This window comes from Homo sapiens, chromosome 4, assembly GCF_000001405.40.
Source record: "Homo sapiens chromosome 4, GRCh38.p14 Primary Assembly".
Classification (NCBI taxonomy): domain Eukaryota; kingdom Metazoa; phylum Chordata; class Mammalia; order Primates; family Hominidae; genus Homo; species Homo sapiens.
This window is the reverse complement of record NC_000004.12, coordinates 70,397,496-70,423,074: the sequence shown is the minus strand read 5'-3', so window position 1 is coordinate 70,423,074 and position 25,579 is coordinate 70,397,496. Positions and strand designations below refer to the sequence as shown.

General features: G+C 37.5%; 1 protein-coding gene across 3 annotated transcripts; it reads right to left on the bottom strand.

The window, feature by feature from the left end:
- Positions 1 to 12,879: 12,879 nt before the first annotated feature.
- On the bottom strand, positions 12,880 to 25,135 carry OPRPN (opiorphin prepropeptide). Of its 3 annotated transcripts, NM_001302807.2 has the most exons (4): positions 25,035 to 25,135; positions 23,739 to 23,804; positions 23,508 to 23,563; positions 12,880 to 13,695 (listed from the first exon to the last, which is right to left on the bottom strand). In NM_001302807.2, exons 2-4 carry the CDS (start codon positions 23,787 to 23,789, stop codon positions 13,419 to 13,421), a joined length of 384 nt encoding a protein of 127 aa, NP_001289736.1. In that variant the 5' UTR covers positions 23,790 to 23,804; positions 25,035 to 25,135; the 3' UTR covers positions 12,880 to 13,418. The 3 variants fall into 3 exon arrangements, 2 of the variants coding, with proteins under 2 accessions (NP_001289736.1, NP_067048.4); NM_021225.5 differs by lacking the exon at positions 23,508 to 23,563; NR_126503.2 differs by lacking the exons at positions 23,508 to 23,563; positions 23,739 to 23,804.
- Positions 25,136 to 25,579: the final 444 nt, after the last annotated feature.

Sequence of the window (25,579 nt, the reverse complement as noted above, 5' to 3'; positions counted from 1 at the left end):
GTACATCACCATCATCAAAGACCAAAAGTAGATAAAACCACAAAGATGGGGAAAAAACAGAGCAGAAAAACTGGAAACTCTAAAAAGCAGAGCGCCTCTCCTCCTCCAAAGGAATGCAGCTCCTCACCAGCAATGGAACAAAGCTGGACAGAGAATGACTTTGACGAGCTGAGAGAAGAAGGCTTCAGACGATCAAACTACTCTGAGCTACAGGAGGAAATTCAAACCAATGGCAAAGAAGTTAAAAACTGTGAAAAGAAATTAGATGAATGGATAACTAGAATGACCAACGCAGAGAAGTCCTTAAAGGAGCTGATGGAGCCGAAAGCCAAGGCTCGAGAACTACATGAAGAACGCAGAAGCCTCAGGAGCCGATGCAATCAACTGGAAGAAAGGATATCAGTGATGGAAGACGAAATGAATGAAATGAAGTGAGAAGGGAAGTTTAGAGAAAAAAAGAATAAAAAGAAATGAACAAAGCCTCCAAGAAATATAGGACTATGCGAAAAGACCAAACCTACATCTGATTGGTGTACCTGAAAGTGACGGGGAGGATGGAACCAAGTTGGAAAACAATCTGCAGGATATTATCCAGGAGAACTTCCCCAATCTAGCAAGGCAGGCCAACATTCAGATTCAGGAAATACAGAGAATGCCACAAAGATACTCCTCAAGAAGAGCAACTCCAAGACACATAATTGTCAGATTCACCAAAGTTGAAATGAAGGAAAAAATGTTAAGGGCAGCCAGAGAGAAAGGTCGGGTTACCCACAAAGGGAAGCCCATCCGACTAACAGTGGATCTCTCGGCAGAAACTCTACAAGCCAGAAGAGAGTGGGGGCCAATAGTCAACATTCTTAAAGAAAAGAATTTTCAACCCAGAATTTCATATCCAGCCAAACTAAGCTTCATAATTGAAGGAGAAATAAAATCCTTTACAGACAAGCAAATGCTGAGAGATTTTGTCACCACCAGGCCTGCCCTAAAAGAGCTCCTGAAGGAAGCACTAAACATGGAAAGGAACAACCGGTACCAGCCACTGCAAAAACATGCCAAAATGTAAAGACCATCAAGGCTAGGAAGAAACTGCATCAACTAATGTGCAAAATAACTAGCTAACATCATAATAACAGGACCAAATACACACGTAACAATATTAACTTTAAATGTAAATGGACTAAATGCTCCAATTAAAAGACACAGACTGGCAAATTGGATGAAGACTCAAGACCCATCAGTGTGCTGTATTCAGGAAACCCATCTCACATGCAAAGACACACAAAGGCTCAAAATAAAGGGATGGAGGAAGATCTACCAAGCAAATGGAAAACAAAAAAAGGCAGGGGTTGTAATCCTAGTCTCTGATAAAACAGACTTTAAACCAACAAAGATCAAAAGAGACAAAAAAGGCCATCACATAATGGTAAAGGGATCAATTCAACAAGAAGAGCCAACTATCCTAAGTATATATGCACCCAATACAGGAGCACCCAGATTCATAAAGCAAGTCCTGAGTGACCTACAAAGAGACTTAGACTCCCACACAATAATAATGGGAGACTTTAACATCCCACTGTCAACATTAGACAGATCAAGGAGACAGAAAGTCAACAAGGATACCCAGGAATTGAACTCAGCTCTGCACCAAGCGGACCTAATAGACATCTACAGAACTCTCCACCCCAAATCAACAGAATATACATTTTTTTCAGCACCACACCACACCTATTCCAAAATTGACCACATAGTTGGAAGTAAAGCACTCCTCAGCAAATGTAAAAGAACAGAAATTATAACAAACTGTCTCTCAGACCACAGTGCAATCAAACTAGAACTCAGGACTAAGACATTCACTCAAAATTGCTCAACTACATGGAAACTGAACAACCTGCTCCTGAATGACTACTGGGTACATAACAAAATGAAGGCAGAAATAAAGATATTCTTTGAAACCAATGAGAACAAAGACACAACATACAAGAATCTCTGGGACACATTCAAAGCAGTGTGTAGAGGGAAATTTATAGCACTAAATGCCCACAAGAGAAAGCAGGAAAGATCCAAAATTGAAACTCTAACATCACAATTAAAAGAAATAGAAAAGCAAGAGCAAACGCATTCAAAAGCTAGCAGAAGGCAAGAAATAACTAAAATCAGAGCAGAACTGAAGGAAATAGAAACACAAAAAACCCTTCAAAAGATTAATGAATCCGGGAGCTGGTTTTTTGAAGAGATCAACGAAATCGATAGACCATTAGCAAGACTAATAAAGAAGAAAAGACAGAAGAATCAAATAGATGCAATAAAAAATGATAAAGGGGATATCATCACCAATCCCACAGAAATACAAACTACCATCAGAGAATACTACAAACACCTCTATGCAAATAAACTAGAAAATCTACAAGAAATGGATAAATTCCTTGACACATACACCCTCCCAAGACTAAACCAGGAAGAAGTTGAATCTCTGAATAGACCAATAATAGGCTCTGAAATTGTGGCAATAATCAATAGATTACCAACCAAAAAGAGTCCAGGACCAGATGGATTCACAGCCGAATTCTACCAGAGGTACAAGGAGGAGCTGGTACCATTCCTTCTGAAACTATTCCAATCAACAGAAAAAGAGGGAATCCTCCCTAACTCATTTTATGAGGCCAGCATCATCCTGATACCAAAGCCTGGCAGAGACACAACCAAAAAGAGAATTTTAGACCAATATCCTTGAAGAACATTGATGCAAAAATTCTCAATAAAATACTGGCAAGCCAAATCCAGCAGCCCATGAAAAAGCCTATCCACCATGATCAAGTGGGCTTCATCCCTGGGATGCAAGGCTGGTTCAACATACACAAATCAATAAAGGTAATCCAGCATATAAACAGAATCAAAGACAAAAACCACATGATTATCTCAATAGATGCAGAAAAGTCCTGTGACAAAATTCAACAATGCTTCATGCTAAAAACTGTCAATAAATTAGGTATTGATGGGACATATCTCAAAATAATAAGAGCTATCTATGACAAACCCACAGCCAATATCATACTGAATGGGCAAAAACTGGAAGCATTCCCTTTGAAAACTGGCACAAGACAGGATGCCCTCTCTCACCACTCCTATTCAACATAGTGTTGGAAGTTCTGGCCAGGGCAATCAGGCAGGAGAAGGAAATAAAGGGTATTCAATTAGGAAAAGAGGAAATCAAATTGTCCCTGTTTGCAGATGACATGATTGTATATCTAGAAAACCCCATCATCTCAGCCCAAAATCTCCTTAAGCTGGTAAGCAACTTCAGCAAAGTCTCAGGATACAAAATCAATGTGCAAAAATCACAAGCATTCTTATACACCAATAACAGACAAACAGAGAGCCAAAGCATGAGTGAACTCCCACTTACAATTGCTTCAAAGAGAATAAAATACCTAAGAATCCAACTTACAAGGGATGTGAAGGACCTCTTCAAGGAGAACTACAAACCACTGCTCAATGAAATAAAAGAGGATACAAATAAATGGAAGAACATTCCATGCTCATGGGTAGGAAGAATCAATATTGTGAAAATGGCCATACTGCCCCAGGTCATTTACAGATTCAATGCCATCCCCATCAAGCTACCAATGCCTTTCTTCACAGAATTGGAAAAAACTACTTTAAAGTTCATATGGAACCAAAAAAGAGCCCTCATCGCCAAGTCAATCCTCAGCCAAAAGAACAAAGCCGGAGGCATCACGCTGCCTGACTTCAAACTATACTACAAGGCTACAGTAACCAAAACAGCATGGTACTGGTACCAAAACAGATATATACATCAATGGAACAGAACAGAGCCCTCAGAAATAATGCCACATATCTACAACTATCTGATCTTTGACAAACCTGAGAAAAACAAGCAATGGGGAAAGGATTCCCTGTTTAATAAATGGTGCTGGGAAAACTGGCTAGCCATATGTAGAAAGCTGAAACTGGATCCCTTCCTTACATCTTATACAAAAATTAATTCAAGATGGATTAAAGACTTACATGTTAGACCTAAAACCATAAAATCCCTAGAAGAAAACCTAGGCAATACCATTCAGGACATAGGCATGGGCAAGGACTTCATGTCTAAAACACCAAAAGCAATGGCAACGAAAGCCAAAATTGACAAATGGAATATAATTAAACTAAAGAGCTTCTGCACAGCAAAAGAAACTACCATCAGAGTGAACAGGCAACCTACAAAATGGGAGAAAATTTTTGCAACCTACTCATCTGACAAAGGGCTAATATCCAGAATCTACAATGAACTCCAACAAATTTACAAGAAAAAAACAAACAACCCCATCAAAAAGTCGGCAAAGGATATGAACAGACACTTCTCAAAAGAAGACATTTATGCAGCCAAAAAACACATGAAAAAATGCTCATCATCACTGGCCATCAGAGAAATGCAAATCAAAACCACAATGAGATACCATCTCTCACCAGTTAGAATGGCAATCATTACAAAGTCAGGAAACAACAAGTGCTGGAGAGGATGTGGAGAAACAGGAACACTTTTACACTGTTGGTGGGACTGTAAACTAGTTCCACCATTGTGGAAGTCAGTATGGCGATTCCTCAGGGATCTAGAACTAGAAATACCATTTAACCCAGCCATCCGATTACTAGGTATGTACCCAAAGGATTATAAATCATGCTGCTATAAAGACACATGCACACATATGTTTATTGCGGTACTATTCACAATAGCAAAGACTTGGAACCAACCCAAATGTCCAACAACCATAGACTGGATTAAGAAAATGTGGCACATATACACCATGGAATACTATGCAGCCATAAAAAAGGATGAGTTCATGTCCTTTGTAGGGACATGGATGAAGCTGGAAACCATCATTCTCAGCAAACTATCGCAAGGACAAAAAACCAAACACCGCATATTCTCACTCATAGGTGGGAATTGAACAATGAGAACACATGGACACAGAAAGGGGGACATCACACTCCAGGGACTATTGTGGGGTGCGGGGAGGGGGAAGCATAGCATTAGGAGATATACCTAATGTAAATGACGAGTTAATGGGTGCAGCACACCAACATGGCACATGTATACATATGTAACAAACCTGCACATTGTGCACATGTACCCTAAAACTTAAAGTATAATAATAATAATAAAAAAAGAGGTTTTATTTGGCCAGAAGTTTTCTAAGACCTAGTACTTGTGGCTTGATTTGTGTTGGTCCATTTCTTTTACCAATGGAAGTTGAATGTGGTTTAGATTATTAGCAGTTTTGTTGAATACTTTTTCTAGAAGTAGTTTTAGATTTCTTTGGCAACTTTTTACCAGTTTTACTTGGATGGTATTTGCTCACACTAGATCTCTTGTATGTTACTGAGTCCTTAGAATTTTGGTATTGCCTACTCCTTGGCTGTGCTGGAGATTTTTTTTTTAACCAAGAAGTTTTTGATGAGGTTGATGATGCCTCCTCTTACATAGGATAGGTCTCTGCTCACTCAATGGCTGTTTATGCTGTTTAGATTTCTTCTGTATTTTTGTCTTTGTCTCTGCATTTGAGAACTAGCTTGTTTTGATTCAGTTGTGTTAAAGTAGTATTTTCTCTGGTTAGTTTGCTTTTCTAAGGGAATTTTTATTTCACTGATTCATTGCTTCTTGATCATATTTTTGTGAAATTTTGATTATACAGGTATTTTCTGAAGGTCTTGTGTCATAGTTTGGCATAGACCATTTCTCTTACTAGTTAAAGCTGAGCGTAATAGGTGTTGTTTGGAGCTCTGTTAAATATTGGTTCTAAAGTGGGGGTTAATTTTTTTTCTTTTGCGTCATTGTGGCTATTTGGACTGGATAAGGGGTAGATTTTTTCTTAGCTGTTGTGTTTCTATAAGTTATGATTTGGTAGCTTCTTTGTTGTGTAGGGGAATTTTTGTTAGAAAATTAGTTGTCCAGATCCAGGGTTGATAGATTGCCTATTTAATTCTCATTTGTCTATACATTTTAGGCAGAGATTTTGGATGGATAGGCTTTCTTGACTCAGTATTATTTAAATTTTTTTTTCTTTGATTAGCTTGCTGTGAAATTTGTGATTTTATTTGGTTGGATTATTTACTTTCTGGTTGTAATTATATGAACTTTTGATTGGCCTGATGTTTTCTGTGGACCCAATTCTTATAATTTAATTTTGTTGACCAATTCTTTTACCAGAAGAAGGAATTTGGGATCAAATTGGGTCTTAAAGAATATTGTTTCTGGGCTAAGAGTTATATCTAATTCCTAAATTTTTAGCAGGTTTAGTTGGCCAAGATTTGGAAGTATTATAACTTGATTTATCTTACAAAGTCATGTGATGTTGAGGTTTGTGAACACTTTCTTGCATAGGGTAAATTTGACCAGATTTTGTCTTTTTTGTTTCTTTTTAAAGCAAGAGGTTTTAAATAGGTAGAGAATACTCTAAATCTTTTTTTTTGTTTGTTTGTTTGTTTTGTGGATGGATTTGGATTAAATGGAATCCTATGAGTTTGAACTGATGAAGGGGAATGCTGATACAGGAGCTGCTACTCAGACAGAGAAAAGTACCTTTCATCTGTGCTTGCTTTGTGACTTGCTAGATTTTAGAAAGAAAGGGGAAATTCATTAGACATGTATAACCATTCTTTTTTTCTTTTCTAATTTTTCTTTTTAGTTCTGATTTGCATGTGCAGGATGTGCAGGTTTGTTACATAGGTAAATGTGTGCCATGGTGGTTTGCTGCACCTATCAACCCATCACCTAGGTATTAAGCCCAGCATGCATTAGCTATTCTTCCTAATGCTCTCCCTCCCCACCCCACTCCCCTGCCAGGCTCCAGTGTATGTGGTTCCCCTTCCTGTGTCCATGTGTTCTCACTGATGTATAACCATTCTTATTTAATATTTCATTATGTGAGAAATGTTAATGAGCACATTGCAATTCCTGAACTCATGTATAGAGAAATCATATAGCTAGATGACCCTAGTGTCCTGTTCTCTTAGAGATTGGTCCCCAGAAACAAACTAGCTGTGTCTGAACTTCAACTCTGCCATTTACTCTCTTTGTGGTTTCCGATATATTACTTAATTTATCTGTTCCCCTTCGGAGTCTCATTACCTCCACTTACAGAATTTTTTTAAGTGAGACTATCATTTTTGGATGTCTAGAAATTTGCTGTTTAAGGCAGATTGTTGGGTAGGAGAGAGTTCAGCTGTTTAGACCATTTTCTTATACAAATTATTTGAAACAAAGGCCAAGGCGGGTGGATCATGAGGTCAGGAGTTTGAGACCAGCCTGGCCAACATGGTGAAACCCCGTCTCTACTAAAAATACAGAAATTTGCTGGGCATGGTAGTGTGCACCTGTAATCCCAGCTACTTGGGAGGCTGAGGAAGGAGAATTGCTTGAACCTGGGAGGCAGAGGTTGCAGTGAGCCGAGATCGCACCACTGCACTCCAGCCTGGGTGACAGAGCAAGACTCCGTCTTGGAAAAAAATAAAAAAAGGATGCCTACATGCTTGCAACAGTGAAATGAAGAGTACAGAAGTACCTCATTTTATTGTGCCACTCTTTTGTGTGCTTTGCAGATATTGCATTTTTCACAAGTTAAAGGTTTGTGGCAACCCTGTGTTGAGCAAGTCCATAGGCACCATTTTTCCAACAGCACGTACTCATCTCATGTTTCTATGCCACATTTTGGTAATTCTCACAATATTTCAAACTTTTTCATTATTATTATATCTGTTATGGTGATCTGTAATCAATGCTCACTGATGTTACTATTGTAATTGCTTTTAATTGCCACAAACTGCACTCATATTAGACACCAACTTAATTGATAAATGTTCTGTGTGTTCTGACTGTTACCAGCCTTTCACTCATCTTTCTCCCTACTCTTTGGCCACCCTATTCCCTAAGAAACAATAATTTAAAATTATGCCAATTAATAACCCTACAATGGCTTCTATGTGTTCACATAAAAGAAAGAGTTACACATCTCTCACTTTAAATCAAGAGCTAGAGGCTGGGTGTGGTGGCTCACGCCTGTAATCCAAACACTTTGGGAGGCCGAGGTGGGTGGATCACAAGGTCAGGAGTTCGAGACCAGCCTGGCCAACATGGTGAAACCCCGTCTCTACTAAAGATACAAAAATTAGCTGGGCATGGTGGTGGGCACCAGTAGTCCCAGCTACACGGGAGGCTGAGGCAGGAGAATCACTTGAACCTGGGAGGCAGAGGTTGCAGTGAGCCGAGATCGCACCACTGCACTCCAGCCTAGGAGACAGAGCAAGACTCCGTCTAAAAAAAAAAAAAATCAAGAACTAGAAATGATTAAACTTAGTAAATGGATGTCGAAAGCTGAGATAGGCTGAAAGGTAGGCCTCTTGAGCCAAACATTCAAGTTGTAAATGAAAAGGAAGAGATTTTGAAGAAAATTAAAAGTGCTACTCCAGTGAACACACAAATGATAAGAAAGTGAAACTACCTTATTACTGATATAGTGAAAGTTTGAGTGGTCTGGATAGAAAATAAAATCAGACACATTTTCTTAAGCCAAAGCCTAATCCAGAGCAAAGTCCTAACTCTCTTCAGTTCTATGAAGACGGAGAGAGGTGAAGAAGCTATAGAAGAAAAGTTGAAAGCTAGCAGAGATTGGTTCATGAGGTTTAAGGAAAGAAACCACGTCTATAACATAGAAGTGCGAGGTGAAACAGCGAGTGCTGATGTAGCAGCTGCAGCAAGTTATCCAGAAAATTTAGGTAAGATAATTTCTTATCTAGCTAAGAAAATCTAGCTAAGGTATAATCCACAGATTTTCCATGTAGACAAAATAGCAGTGTATTGAAAGAAGATGCTATCTAAAGAAGATGCTTTCATAGCTGAGAAGTCAATGCCTGGCTTCAAAGGACAGGTTGACTCCCTTGTTAGAGTCCAGTGTAGCTAGTGACTTTAAGTTAAAGCCAATGCTCGTTTGCCATTCCTAAAATCCTAGGACTCTTTTAAGAGTGACAGTAAATCTACCCTTCCTGTGCTCTATAAATGCAGCAAGAAAGCCTGGATTATAGCACGTCTGTTTACAGCACGGTTTACTATTTTAAGTCCACTGTTGATACATACTGCTCAGAAAAAAGATTCCTTTCAGAATATTACTGCTTATTGACAATGCATGAAGTCACCCAGGAGCTCTCATAGAGATGTACAGGGAGACAAATGTTGTTTGCATGACTGCTAACACAACATCCGTTCTGCAGCCCATGGATCAAGGAGTAATTTTGACTTTCAAGTCTTATTACTATGGAAATACATGGCTGGGCGCAGTGGCTCATGCCTGTAATCCCAGCACTTTGGGAGGGCGAGGCGGGCGGATCACGAGGTCAGGAGATCGAGACCATCCTGGCTAACACGGTGAAACCCCATCTCTACTAAAAATACAAAAAAAAAAAAAAAAAAAAAATTAGCTGGGCGCAGTGGCAGGCGCCTGTAGTCCCAGCTACTTGGGAGGCTGAAGCAGGAGAATGGCGTGAACCCAGAAGGCGGAGCTTGCAGTGAGCCGAGATCTCGCCGCTGCACTCCAGCCTGGGTGACAGAGCGAGACTCTGTCTCAAAAAAAAAAAAAAAAAAAAAGGAAATACATTTCGTAAGACTATAGCTGCCATAGATAGTGATTTCCATGATGGAACAGAGGAATGGAAAAATATTTGTGATTCTTAAGAGGAGTCCAAATATCAATATTTAACAGGAGTTTGAAAGAAATTGACTTCAGCCTTCATGGATGATATTGAGGGATTTGAGACTTCAGTGGAGGTATATATATATATATATATATACACACACACACATATATATACACACACACATATATATACATATATATCTACAGTCATATATATATTTGGTTTCAAATTCAGTCTTTTAAAAGTGTTCCTGTATTAAATCCAATATTGCAAAAAAATGTGTAGTTTTATGCAAGGTTCTGAATGTTTAATAAAATAATGTCATTTCAGATCAATACTCATCATAGCTTTTAGAGCTATAGTTTCTTGTCACAGTTAAGATAATTTCACATGCACTCGCTTAATCATATTACATTAGTGTGTGACTATGTTTTGAAATATAATAAACTTTAGGAAATGTATCTTCATAAATAAAAATACCCAGGGAATGAAAATATGCTTGGACTCTGAGAGAAGATTGAATGTCAACTTTCAGCCTTTTGATCAACTTAGGAGAGCAATTAGTATCTTTTATTATTTTATTGAAATTTGTTGTCAAGTTTTAGAATTATATAAATATAATAATTTCCTTCAGAATGAAACTGTTCACAGGCACTTTAAGCAAATTGCTAGGGTCAAGATGCTAATATCAATATTCCTTTACATCTTAGTTCTGAATATTCATGAATGGAGATAGCATATAGTTTACTTCCTATATGTAAAATATTTATTTTACTTCTTGTTCTATCAAACAAGTTGGAAACAGGGATGATGCATTCTTACCTAAGTAACCATTTTATATGCATTATTATCCAGAACATATAGCCTTCAGCTTATTTACATATTTTTAAGCATAGTAACATTTTGCTTTCTCTAAAGAGTCTAGGAATCTTAAGCCTAGGTAAAGTAAATAAGTGAGAAGGCAGGTAGAAGAACAGAGAGTATATAATGTTTGGAAAATGAATAATATAGGCCCAAATATCTTCAAATTCAGTTCTATAACATGTTATACAAGCCAAGAAAAACGGGTATAAGTCTAAGTGACCTCTTGAACTTGTAGATTGCTATTGCTAGCAGTCTATTTGTTGTTGTTGTTGAGGGTTGGGATGGGGACAGAGTCTTGCTATGTTACCTAGGCTGGAGTGCAGTGGTGCAATCATAGCTCACTACAGCCTGGAAATCCTGGCCTCAAGGGATCCTCCCACCTCAGCCACCTAACCAGGAGTTAGGACCACAGGTGTGTGTCACCAAACCAGCTCTTTTCTTTTCTTCCTTTTTTTTTGAGACGGAGTCTCGCTCTGTCGCCCAGGCTGGAGTGCAGTGGCGCGATCTCGGCTCACTGCAAGCTCCGCCTCCCGGGTTCGCGCCATTCTCCTGCCTCAGCCTCCCGCCTCAGCCTCCTGAGTAGCTGGGACTACAGGCGCCTGCCACCGTGCCCGGCTAGTTTTTTGTATTTTTAGTAGAGACGGGGTATCACCGTGTTAGCCAGGATGATCTTGATCTCCTGACCGTGTGATCTGCCCGCCTCGGCCTCCCAAATTGCTGGGATAACAGGCGTGAGCCCACCGCGCCCGGCCTCTTTTTTTTTTTTTTTTTTTTTTTTTTTTTTTTGTAGAGATGGGGTCTGGTCAATAAAATGTAAGTGTCGTTTGTTATAGGGTAGTTTATGATTGTGTGTAGGATTCAAGTGAAAGGTAGGGGTTCAGTTTCATTCTTCTTCACATGGCTAGCCATTTATCCCAGCATAATTTATTGATTAAGGGCTCCTTTCCTCATTGCTTGCTTTTGTTGACTTTGTCCAAGCTCAGATGGTTGCAGGTATATGGCTTTATTTCTGGGTTCTCTATTCTGTTCCATTGGTCTATGTGTCTGTTTCCACTAGATCAATTTAAGTTGATATTTTAATTATTTTCTTTCTTTTCTCTTAGTTTATATTATTATTTGCTTACATTTTTGTTACCTGGTTGACCTTATATATATGTGAATTTCCTGGGTAAAGGCAATAAAAAACTGATCTCATATTTTTCTGCTGTCTCTGCCCTTTCTATGTAGGAAGTCAGGAACCCTCATATTTTTCCTTGTCTGCTTGTTTGGCCTCAAGATGCTGAGTGAGGCTACTTGTGGTGTTAGCCTACGTGCTGATAAATCCTCATTAGCAGTCCGCCTTTCTCTGCCTCATTCTCAATCCTGGGAAGATGATCATACAAACTCTTACACGTGAGTTTCCTTACCTGTGAGATTTTTGTTGGGTTCTGCTGATGAAATAGGTGGAAGAGAGACGTAGGGTTACTATTTGGTATAAAAGATAAAAAATGGTACAGCCATATAGGTTCCTTGCCATGAATGGAGCTTAGCTTCTAAGAAATCAGAGAACTAAGAACTAGGCAGAGAAGAGTGGACTGCTAATGAGGAGTAGCAGTCACACCTGTCAGTAGTCACATCTTTGAAAGTAGTTTCAAGTAGAAGTAAACACTCCAGTGGGATTATCTAGGAAAATTCTTTCTGACTCCATTCTAAGAATTCAGTGAGATTCCAGGCTCTGAACCATTAATCACGTAACTATTAGGAGACTATTAATTGTGTAACTATTAGGAGCTTAGCTTAGCTCCATTCATGGCAAGGGACCTATACAGTTGGACCATATTTTATCTTTTATACCAAATATAAAAGATTTGTACCTCTCCCTTCCACCTATTTCATCAGCAGAACCCAACCAGAACCCCCAGGTAAGAAAACCCACATGTAAGAGTTTGTATGGTTATCCTCCCAGGATTGAGAACTAGGCAGAGAAGAGTGGACTGCTAATGAGGAGCAGTAGTCACACCTGGCAGCAGTCACATCTTTGCACAACGGGTCTTATTGTGTGGCCTTTCCTTCATTGTCCCAACTCTTCTTCAGGCTCTGGGCTCCTTATTTGTTCCCTTTGCTTCATCAAACATAGGCCCATGACCAGCTCTACTGGGAGACCCTGAATGTCTCAGCCCTGTATTTTTTTTTTAAATCCTGTCCACTCTCTTTAAATAAACCCTTTATTAATTTTTTTTCCCATAAAGGGTCTCTGTTTTCTTCTGGGAACCTGTCTCATCAACTGTTGGTAGATGAGAAAATATAGGATAGAGTGGTAGTCATAATGATAGCAATAGGTGCATATTATTGCTCAAATACTTTATTTAGTGTGCTGGTTAGATCAGGGTTGGTTCCATCAAAATCATTGCAGTTTATTTCTTCTAAGATATCAGAGCAGTTTGGAAAATATCATTTATTGCATGTTCAACCAAAAATGGCAAAGAGTTTTTGCCAAAAACTTTTAAAGGCTGGGCTGCTTAATATAGTTTGGTTGGAAGTCGTAACTTGGACAGTGGCATTGAGCAATACTGTGTGAGGACGGTTGGCGAGAATTTGAGTAGTATTTTCAGTAGATGCTGCGGGGGTTGCTGCTGATATGGAGGTGGCAGGCTCTGGTGTTGAAGAGATAGGTACTGTTGAGGAGCTGATCGTCATTGTGGGTTTTGTGGAAGTGCTGGTGGTTGCTGTTGCAGTGGTGGGGGGATTTGTGGTGATTGTTGTATCTGCGGTGGTGATGTTTATTTGGGGCTCAGGGTTAGAGATAGGAAGGTAAATAGCAAGAAAAAAAGGAATAGGAGGAAATGGGGGTTTTAATATCCTAATAGGTCCTACATAGTAAGGTCTTAGTGGGAAATGTAGGTTTGGATAACCCGGAAAGAGTCGAGGTTGTCTAATAGATTCCAATGGAAAGAGTTGAGATAGAATGACTGCTTGGCTAAATCGAGAGAAAGAAGATGGTGGAACTCGCCCTGGGACAAAGGGAAGAGAAAGTGGTGAATTAAGTCTTGAGTCATAGGGAGGTGGGGGACTTGGTGGAACCCATCTTGGCCTGTAGAGTGGAGGTGGTGGCAGCTGGCCAGGTAGATATGGTCTTCTGGAGAATCTTTGACTCTCACTGGGCTGTGGAGATAAAAACAAAGGTAAAAAACAAAATTTCTAAATTTGATCATTTAAAGTTCAAACATTAGGATATACTATGTATTAATATATCTACTATGTAAACATTAGGATATACTAAGCCATAAGTCATGTATTTCACTGAGAAAATAACTTAGAAAAAATAAGGAATAGAAAATTTCCTGTTTATTCTGGATGCCTGGGCAATCAAAGAAAAGTAGAATAGTATTAAATGAGAAAAAACCAAAAAAGTGGTAACCTTGCTATCTGACCTGTAGGTTTTAGGGAGGGACCAAATCACCTTGATTATGTATAAGAAAAGACCACCTTTGAATGTAGTTTCAAGTGGAGGTAAATACCCAGGTTGACTATCTGGGAAAATTCTTTCTTACTTCATTCTAAGAATTCAGTGAGATTCCAGACTCTGAACCATTAATTGTATAACTATTACATGCAACACTTCTTTCTAGGGACAAAGAGAAACAGATTTAAGACTCTGCTTATGTGAGTCTGAAATCAGTGGAAGATATAACCCTCCAATGACAATACAAGGCAATACAACAAAAAGCCTATGGAGCTAGTATAGTATGTTGGTTAAAATTTAGACACTGGAGTCTGATTGCTAGAGCCTCCTAGAGCCAGTCCTACCATTGTTAAATGCTAGCTGGGTGACTTGCTTATGGTTATCTCTGCCTGTTTGCTCACTCCTCAACTGGTTCTAGAAATAGTTCTTACCATTTATAGTGGTAGATAGGATTATACATAATCTATGTAAAGTGCTTAGACATAGTAAGGTAGAGTAAGGGCTCAGTATAATTTTGAGTGATTTTGTACTCTATTAATAACAAGCATGGCTTGTAGATGGTAGCAATTCAAGAAATAATTGATAAATATTGTAACAATTTTAGTAATTTAGATGAAAATTTTAATTTTTATCAAAGAGAGAGGACTAATTGCCATGTAGAGAAGATGGCATTTGAAATGAGGATAAAATAACAGGGTAGAAATGAGGAGGAAGAAGCCAAATTAGGATAATATCATAAACAAATGAACAAGGTCAAGAAAATATAGGTTCTATTCTAGCGACCATCAGAAGACCAGTTTGCCTGAAACAAAGCTTTAGGAAGGTGCAAGACTCTAATCATTCCCCTACAACATTCAACTCCTTCCTGTGTCTCTGCCATATTGCCTTCAGAAACATCAAACTTTTGGATCAACTCTATGCAAACTACCTTCCCTAGTCCTACTTCCATGGTGATGAACATTGCTGGAGAATGCCACAATCTCTAATGGTAGCAACACTAGAGAACTATAGTGTCTGTGTTTGTCTGGTGCATCAGCACTGCTAAATCATTTCCTCCCATTTTCCCCAAAAGGCTATCTTCTCAGCATCTATACCTCACTTCTACTTTTCTTGCTCCCCTCTACACCCATCAGAAGATGATCTTGCCTTCTAATTCACATAATTTAGGCCATGATACGTGAGAACTTCTTCACTTTCCTGCCCTATGCCTATAAAACTCATAAATATCTTGCTGTTCTCTCTTCCTGTTTAAGACCAGTCTCTTCACCTGTGTTTTATATCTACATCTTCTCTGTCCCTAGGGTCTTTCTTCTCTTTTATTTTTGTAAAATAAACCTCTTTCTAATCCCTGGCTGTATTCTTCCTGTCTATAATATTGATTGATATCTCATGTATTAAAGAATCTCATTCTTAACCTAGGGTACCCTTGAAGCTTTCTTTATTAGTTTATCTCTCTCCATTCCTAGCCAGATAGTAAGGAAGGCTGGTTTAGATTTTCTGTCTCCACTTCTCAATTTCCCTTTTATCTGGTTACTGTCCCCATCACACAACTTAACTGAATCTCTTACAAAGATCAGTGACAACTCAAAAATTCCAAGTCATTTCAGAGGGAGCCATAGTGATGTCATGGTCACATGATCAATTCCTCTGTATATTTTATATCTATGTTTTCTCCCTTTCCAGGGACTGTCCTGTCTTAGTCATCACCTTTTATTCTTGTAACATAAACATAAACACATTTATTTGGGTTATTTCTGGGCTATTGTTCCATGGACTTCCAAACCACTGGCTATCCAGGATCTTAGGCCTTATGGCCAGAAGAAGAAAAATAAGCCACGTTAATAAAATTCTCTTTCTCTTTGTAACTTGAAATAGGAAATATTGAGATATCCTACTTAGAAGTAGGAACTAAAATGTGAATATTGTGAGATGAGAGGAGCCAGACAGAGGCTGGAGCATTAATAAGGGCCACGTGCAAACTAAGCTATAAGGACACAGGGACTGTGAGTAAAGAGAGCACATCTCAGGGAGGGAACAGTACAGAGAAAAGCAGGGTTGCCATGAGAAGCAAAGACCGGTTTTTAGGGCTGCCTGCTTTTGCTGTGCCAGTTCTACTTTATATTTATTCTTGCATTGACTTTCTTATTTAAGGAAGGAAGAAAACATTTATTGAGAACCTGGCCAGGCATGTTTCCTTCCTTTAAGGAAAAAGGAAGTCAATGCAAGAATAAATATAAATTAGAACTGGTGCAGCAAACTAAGGCAGCCCTAAAAATGCAAGAATAAATATTGTGAGTGGAACCCTGTTCTTTGCAACCAAACAAAAGCCTATACCGCCATCCAATCTCATCTTTTGCCACTTCTTTATCCTCACTCTGGCCATGTAGAACTAGTACTAGTTCTTTCAACATAACGAGCTCTTTTTGGTAGTCCCTGTGCCTTCATAAAAGCAGTTCCTCTAGCTGAGAATGTTTCACTCCTGCCCTAATTTCCATTCACTTGGCAAGCTCTTCCTTCAAAATGTTTAAGTGGCTTCACTCCTCTCCCCCAATAATTTGATATGATAATTAAAAGAATTGTACAGAAAATATCTTTATACAATATAAAATCAGCCAAAATTTTACTTTTGTAAATCTTTTATTGGAGACAAAAGCAAACTTCATCACTTTTTTTCACAGTGATAGTAATTGTTTGTTTTGATATTTTTCTCCACTTTTAGGCCATGTGCTATTTTACTGCTGTTGAAGGAATAAGTTGTATCTTCTTTAGCTTTGTGTCTTTAGTATCTTAGTCAGTGCCTGGCACCTTTGTGAATAATAAAAGGTATGAGGAATTCGAAGTAAGTTAGGTATCTTTGTTCTTTTTGTTGCTTTAGCACTTCTATTATAATACTTATAGTCACTTATTATATAGTGTAGTAATTATTAACTTCTTCAAACAATGTCTCTGTATTGTTTATCATTCTATCTCCAGTTTCTGGCACGTTGGAGGTTCTCAGTACATTTTTTTTTTAAACGGGGTCATGCTCTGCTACCCAGGCTGGCGTGCAGTGGTGTGACCTCAGCTCACTTCAACCTCTGTCCCCCAGGCTCAGGTGATCTTCCCACCTCAGCCTCGCAAGTAGCTGTGACCACAGGAGTGCACCACCATACCTGGCTATTTTTTTTTTGTATTTTTTGTGGATATGGGGTCTTGCTATGTTGCCCAGGCTAGTCTCGAACTCCTGAGCTTAAGCAATCCACCTGCCTTGGCCTCCCAAAATGCGGGGATTACAGGTGTGAGCCACCATGCCTGGCCAAGTTCTTAGTAAATGTTTTTGAATAAATGAATGTGGACTCAAATGAAATTGAGATCTTAAGTCATGGCTGCTAACATTAATGAAGATATAGGTGTCAAGAGGAAAAAAATTAATTAAGTTTTAATCCTTTTGAGTTTGAAAAGTCATGGAAGTTTGTAGATGCAGATTGAAATCTCAGAACTGGAGAAATAGATTTGGAAAGCACTGTTGGGTCAAAGCAATAAGTAAGAAAGTAATGAAGAAGAAATGGCTGAAGACAGAAACTTGGGTATCAATAAGAGAAAGGTGAGCAGCCAGTGAAGGAAAATCAGAGACAGGAGGAAACCCAGATGGTACAGTGTCATGGAAATTAAGTTCAAAGTGATCTTCAATGAGCTGCTCTCTGGACCCTAAGCAGAGGTGGGGAGAAATCATGTGAAAAATTACACCTTACAGCAAATAGCTGACCCCTGATCTCCATTCTTATTATTTTTATCTTTTCCTATTCTCTTAATACAATTTTTCACTAGCTAGTTTCCCTCCTCCACTGGCCAATGGTAGTGAACATTATAACCCTAGACAAATGATGAAAATGCCTTCTTAAGGAGTCTACATTTGGGGGGATTACCTTCACAAATGATAAGCTTATTTGAAACAGAATAGAGAATTGGCTATTTTGAGTTTCATTTTACTTATTTGTTAAGAGAGGATAATAATAATAATTGTCACACTGGATTTCTGGAGAGATTAAACAGCATACTTTTGTAATATACTTCTTGGCATATATTAAACACTCCATAAGTGGTAGCTTTAATATTATTATTATGCAGCCCACCTATATTTAAATTTGATTATATTCTCTCTGTAGTTTTAACATTTGATGGTTTAAAATAATCAAAAACGATTTAATGTGTGAGTTCCATGAGGGCAGATATTTTTAAATTTATTATTATTTATTTGTAAAACATTTAAAGAGCATAAATGCAATTTTGTTACATAGATATATTGGAGTTAAGGTGCGGGGAGGACAAAGCAGGGTCTTGTAGGTAGGGGTAAGGACTTTGTATCCCCGCCTTCTAAGTCTTATGGAAAACCATTAGAAGCTTTTGAACAAAGGAATGATATGGCAATATTTACTTTGGAAAAACATCTTTCTGGTTGTTGTGTGGAGAATAAACTGCAGGGACAATAGTGAAAGCAGAGAGATCAGTTATTGTTGCCACAGGTAGGAAGTGATGATGGCTTGGCCTAGAATGGTAGCAGGAGGGTGGTGAGAAAGGGTAAGATTTAGATGATGTTTTGAAGGCAGAGTGGGCAATATTTGCTGAAGGAGTGGATCTGGGAGGTGATAGAGTCAAGGATGATTTCAAGTTTTTTTTGGCTTGAGCAACTGGATTTGTGCTCATAGATGGAGAAAGGGTAAGAAGATGGTGTCCTGGGAGACTCTGACATTTAGAGATCAGGAAGAGGAGATGTGTCTGGAGAAGGAGACCAACAAGGAGTCGTCATTGAAGTAGGAGAAAAATCAGGAGAGTGGAGTTGAGGAAAAAGAAAAAACTCTTTAAGTAGGAGACTGATCATGTCAAATACAATTTAGACATAATTATCATGGGGACTGAAAGCTGACCCTTACGCCTGGCCATTTTGAGTACAATTTGACAAATGTGGTTTCATCCAAATGATGTGGGCAAAGTCTGCTTGGAGTAGGCTTAAGACAGAACAGGAAAAGAAGTGAAGATGTACAGAGGCAACTTTTTCAAATGGACCATGATGGGAGCCATAAGATCAGTGGAGTATGAAAACAAACATATAAATGATATTACCTCATATTTATGTGCTAGTAGGAACAATCAATAGAGAGAAGGAAAAATTGCTGATATTTAGATTTAGAGTAGATAATTGCAGGATAATTGCAGGAATCTCCTTGCTTAGGGGAGAGGATGGGATCTAGTGTACAAGTTGAGGGGTTGGTCTTAGAATATATTGGGTTGATTTTAGTCCATCCCAGATAATAGAAGAAAAGGCAGAAGATAGGCAAATAGATCAAGGCAAGTTAAAATTTTGTTTCTCCATTCACAAGTTATGTGAATTTGGGTAAGTTATGTAACCTCTCTGTTACTTTTCCTATCTTTAAAAGAGAGAAAGTAATAGTATCTATCACATGATGTTCTTTAGAAAAAATAATTAAAATGACAAATAATTTAGCATAGTATTTTGCATGCACACAAACATGCAAACATGTTTCAATGAAACATAAATATTTTTTGCAAACTCATGAATAATGTTGGGTTAATTTTATGATTATTTTGTAAATGAAATATCAGGTTTTTACATGCCATATTGCCTTGTTCACTGTCTCTGTAGACTGGGAGTTAGCAAACTAAGGCTGTGGGCCAAATGTAGTTTGCCTGTTTTGGTAAATAAAGTTTTACTGGAACATAACCATGCCCATTCGTTTATTGTAGCTGCTTTCAAGCTACCTCAGCCAAGTTGACCACTTATTACAGGCCCACAGAAGCCTACAATATTTGTTATCTGGCCCTTTTCAGAAAAGTTTGTCAACTCCTGCTCTGGCTATTATTACCAATCTATCTTGTATCCTCTGACAGTCATATACCCCTTGAAGTTAGAGGTCATGTTTATCAGTGTTTGTATCCTTCTTAAGCTGTAGGTGACTTTAAGTAAATATTTATGGATGCCATTCAGATATTTTAGAAGTTTCATTTTTTTTCTCCAAATCATTATGGATGATGGAAAGCAAGAGTGTGTGGGAAGAGACGGCATCTTTCTGAGGTTTTGTACTGACTTCATGTACTAAAGTTTTGCATGTCACTCAGAGTAAAACTAAGGCTCTGCAAAAGCCCATGAGACCTGATGCAGCCTCACCCTCCTCTAACTCTCTAGTATCACCTCCTGCTCCTCTCTTCCCATCTCACTCTCTACCAGCCATGCTAGCCTCCTTATTCTTCACACTAGGCAAGTGTACCCTACTCCAGACTTTGGAACTCCCTGTTTCCTCTGCTTGCATGGTTGGCTTTTTCACCCACTTCAGGTCTTTAATCAAATGCCATTTTCCACTGGGCTACCCTATCTAAAATCACATCCTTGTTCTACCTCCTCCTAAAATTCCTTCTTCCCAAATTTTCTGCATTACATAGTCAGTTATTTTGTTTATGGCTTGTCTTCCCCAAGTAGAATATAAGCTCCATGAGGTTAGAAACTTTTTGTCTGTTTTGTTCACTGCTGTTTACCCAACATCTAGAATAGTGCCTGGCAAACAATAAGTGCTCAATAAGTATTTTGGGTTGAATGAATTCCCCATATTTGGTGATAAGCAGAAATTTCTCTTACTTGATTTCAGAATGCCATTTCCTTCCTTGCACATGGCAAGGAGCGTAATCCTTTCCCGTGACAACATTTGAGCATTTATACAAACCCGTAAGAAGTCCTCAGCCTTTCTCTGTTTGATTTCTCAGTTGACCAGGGCCTTGTTACTCAAAATGTTATTTGCTGACCAACAGATCAGCACCAGTATCACCTGAGGGCTTGTTAGAAATGTAGACTTATGGGGCTCAGGCAGACCTACTGGATCAGAGTCTGCAGTTCTACAAAATCCCTAGATGATTTGTGTTCCTGATAGAGTTTCTAGAGTTTGTAGAGTTTGGAGAACCACTGTCTGTCTTCGGTTATTTGATATCTGCTTATCGTTGGTTTAGTTCAGGCTAAAGGTTTTGCTTTGCTTTTGGCAATTATTTTATCATAGCCCTTTCTGTAAAGTATTTTATTTATGTTCTGTTTTTAAGTTTATTTTACTTTTTACTTTTTTTAAACTTCTATTTCCTATTCTTAAGGATTAGAAACTGCCAGACTGACAGCTTAACCAACTGACAGCTGACAGCAGTTTAGTGGACAGATTGTGCTGCAAACAAAGTCTTCTCTAAGTTAGGGATGGCAGGTATTGGCAAAAATGCTGTCGTTACTCATCTTGTGAGCATGGCAGATATCCTTGTCCACCATGAGATACTTTACCTTTGAGCTTACACTTGGCCTATTATCCATCCCTGTGTCATACTTCATATAGCCTATCCAATGGCATGAATGAACAGGTAAGACTCTGAAACCTATTTGTTATTACTTGGCGTCAACTACACAAAGGCCCATTCACTTGTTGTGTCATTCCCCTAATACTTATTGAGGGTTTGTCTCATGTTCAGCTCTGTGCTATGTAAAGGAGCATCCCAAATAGTTCCTGGGTTTTTGTGAGGTTTGAGGGTAAAACTGTGCTCCAGAGTACATTGTAAATATACAAATATGAACTGTTATTTTTAATTTAAATCCTAGATAGTCCCTATCTCATAAAAGATAATCTCTGATATATTGAAAGTTCTAGATGCTAAGTACAATAAAGTTTCTTTATTTAGACTAATGCTTAAGACTGTTGTTAAGATTTACCAACTTCTCATGAGACAATGAATACAGCAAGAAATTTTTGCTAGAGTGACCTTAAAATTATGTCTTGTGGTTCTTGTTTTCTTATATCCAATAATATTTAATTCTAACATGAGAAAATTTATGTATTAAACTCATGTTTTTTTAGGACATGGAATCCTCTGCTTCTTATATAAATGGGATTCTATACTCTTTCAAGGTAGAAAAGAATTTAAGTTACATTTGTCTTGCAATTCAGGCTTCTGGAATAAAAATATGCCATTAATTCATATGAATCCTCAAGGTAGATGCTTTATGTAGGACTCCTCAGAAGTTGTCTGTCCTCAGTATGAAACAGAAGGTTGTAGATAGAGAATCAAAGACAGCATTTCCTCTATTATTGTCTCTGAGAAGTATTCTAGTCAACAACCTCTATTTCATTTCCCCAAATTTCTCAAGTTTACTTGATCATGGATCTTTCTTTACCTTCTAATCTATTGTATAAAGTCTGAATTAGTGTTTATTAATGTTAACAGAGAAGTCATATTTGTCATATTTGGGGAATTCTACCAAAAAAGTGGTTTATTCCAGAGTAATAAATTTGATAATTAATTCTAATTATTGACTTAGGTTTTTTCATATGATGGATTGATTTAAGTTGAATTTACCTTGAAAGCTCTCTTTATATATTTCATGCAATTATAACATAATAGCTTGAGAAGTAAATTTCAAGAAAATTTACTCAAGGAGTCTCAGATTTCAGCTTGAGTAAGAGTATCCTAGAATGCAGGTTTCCAGGCCCCAAGATCAGCTATTCTTTTTTTCTCAGGTCTGGGATAAGGTCTGGAAATGTTCATTCTTATTAAGTGGATCAGGTGTTTCTGATATAGGTATCTCATGGAGTATAATAATCTTCTATTTCAACCTCAGAAGTATAATTTTTTTATACAAATGTTATTACATAGCACTATATGCTTCAGAACAATACAGATGTCATTAAATATCAAAAAATGCTTCAGAAAAATAACGTTACTTTATCTGACAGTATCATTGCTAGGGTCTATTGATATTTATTTGCTCACTAGTTTCTCTTAGGTAGATACTATATTATGAAAAGAAGACCTAATCTATGAAGATCCCAATTTGGAATTCGACTTTGGTATTTCTGTATCAACCACCACTAGGCCCAACACACAGTGGATTATCAGTAATTACTAAGAAATGAGATAAATAGGGCTCTTTCTCTCCTCGCAAGCCCACCTAACCCCAACATATGCTAGGGAAACTGATCTTACTCTGAAATTCGTATCATGCTATGATGTTTTTGGCTATGGCACTTATCACTTGTTACTTTGCATTATATATTTTTGGATCTCCTATAGAGCTTTAACAAATGATTTTCAAAAGTTTGAATTAGTGTAAGTGCTTCTTGAGTAAATGACTTCTTTTTCTGTTTGTATTTTTTTCCCAAGTGAGTAGCACTTTAATTTCCAGTCAGTTAAAGGAATATTTTAGTCATAATGAATATATTTTCAGGCATCAGAAAGGCTTCCTGATTTTAGTTTTTATAAATATTTTCAATAAAAAACTATTGTACAATCAGCAATCCTTGCATTGATATATCATGTTGTCTTTTTAGAAAATTTATCATGAAGCTCCAACTGTATGCTTTCTTATTCCCTACAGCTTTTAAACATTTAGTAAGCTTAAATTATATTTTTCTGACAATTTGATAGTAGTCCTTTTGAAAAAGAAATAAAAAGGAAGAGATATCTCTAGATAAGAGCTAGCTCTCCTAGATACTACCTGCCCTGTGTCCTCTTCCTGCAGTCCACTGTCCCTTCATGCTTAGCAACCGCTGACTAGATGGTTAGTCATAAATGAGAAAGGAAAAGGAAAGTAAGAGCAAGTCCATAATTATCAACAGCCTGACACTGTATTTTTATATACAGGACAAAATTCTTGGTATCAAAACTTTCTTTGAAATCATGATTAACAATAAATATAACAAGTAAATTTAGAATTGAGGGAACTTACTGTGAAACATGAAATAAGAGCCAACAGGCCCAAGAAGAAAGTTAATTTCATTCTTTAAAGTTGCTCCTACAAACAGGCCAAAGATTATCCACAGTTAGCCAAATCGATCAACAGTGTTTTTCAGAAAAAATTTTTTAAAACATTTTAACACTTGTTATGTAAAATGATGAAGAAAGACCAACATAACCTTTAAAGATGTGTTTGATATTTTGGGGAGAGGAAGCAGCATAGATGCACAGCAATACTGTCATGTTTGTGATTTTTTTTTTAATGGTGGTACTTTATTTTATGAAAGATAATTTTCAGATAATTGTTGAAAGTACATTTTAAAATTAAAGTATTTTTGGAAATTCCTTGTTGCCTTTAGTGGTGACTACTTTGGAACATAACTACTTAGGGTATACTTTTAGTATGTTTACTTAAAATTAGTCAAAGCTTACAGATTTCTATAGATTTGTGACCTAAATATTGTCAACGTGACACGACTATTGTAAAAAATAACTTCTTAATACAATTATTGTGTTATTGTTATTAGATCTGTCTGAAGCAAAAGAAACCATGTAATGTGTATTTTTCCTTTAACATCACTCTACTGAAGTATTATTACTTTGATATGATTTTTTTCCAAGTTATTCCAAAAGTCAATTATTGTCTATCAGTGTGTGAATTAGAAAAAAGATGTTTTTATCCTAATTTGTTTATAATTTTCAACAATATATAAGAAGCACATGGCACCCTGGGTTCTGGGAAGGCAAAATTCAAGCACATAGGCTGACAGATTGTCTTGGGGTTTATGTGGTATCTGTCATTGGCATTAGCCTTGAAAGTGATGTAAGACAGGTTGACAGATCCTATAGTTGTATGTGCGTGTGTCTACCCCCTTAAAATAGCTTTTTTCTTATATGTTTTCATATTAGAAAGCAGTTTGACAATACATAAGAAACCTAACTCAAACAAGAACAACAAAAATGCAAATCTAACTTAATATACCTTTTTAAGACTCTTCTACTCATGATTGACTTTAGAGACCATAAAATACAGCAGTGGAAAAAGTCAATAGATTGTGAAATTGGATGTAAATTGTGCAACTAATCAATATGAATGTTCTTGACATTTTTTCAGGAATTTTAAGCAATTTTACCACAGACAATGATTTTTTTTTTAAAAACACATCTGAGATTTTTGGGTAACGAGGCTATTTCCATTAAAAGCCATGAGGATGATATTCTTGAGAATATGAGCAAAAGCTAGAATTCCGAAGTGAAAATTCTTACATTTATATTTCTATATACCTACCTTGGTAGAAGATTCTTCTTTGGAACAAATTACTGCTTAATCTTACTCTTGCCAGATACTCAATTTAGGTAGCCACAATTTAAAAGTCCAAGAAGAGAAAGAACTTTGATAGAAAAGCCTTTCTTCTTAAATACCTCTGTCTGGATTTTTATTGGAGTTAAGAGAAAGGTTGAGAGAGGGTAAAGTTCTGTATTGATATTCTTTACTGAAACAAAGAAATAATAGTTGCAGTTGCCAGTTTGGCAGCTTCATCTATAGAACTGTGATCCAATCACTGTCCTAGCAGGCCCTGGGGCAGCACACAGAATGCTCAAGTACAGTGGTTTTCAAACTTGACTGCACATCACAACTATCTGGGAAGCTTTAAAAAATTCCACTTCTCAGACCTTACCCCAGAACAATTTATCAAAAGTTATGGGGCAGAAGACAGACAAAGTAATTTAATTTTGTTTTAAAAATTTTATTAATTTTATTTATGTTAGTTTTTTCCTTCCAACTTTTATTTTAGGTTCAGGGGTACCTGTGTAGGTTTGTTACATGAGCAA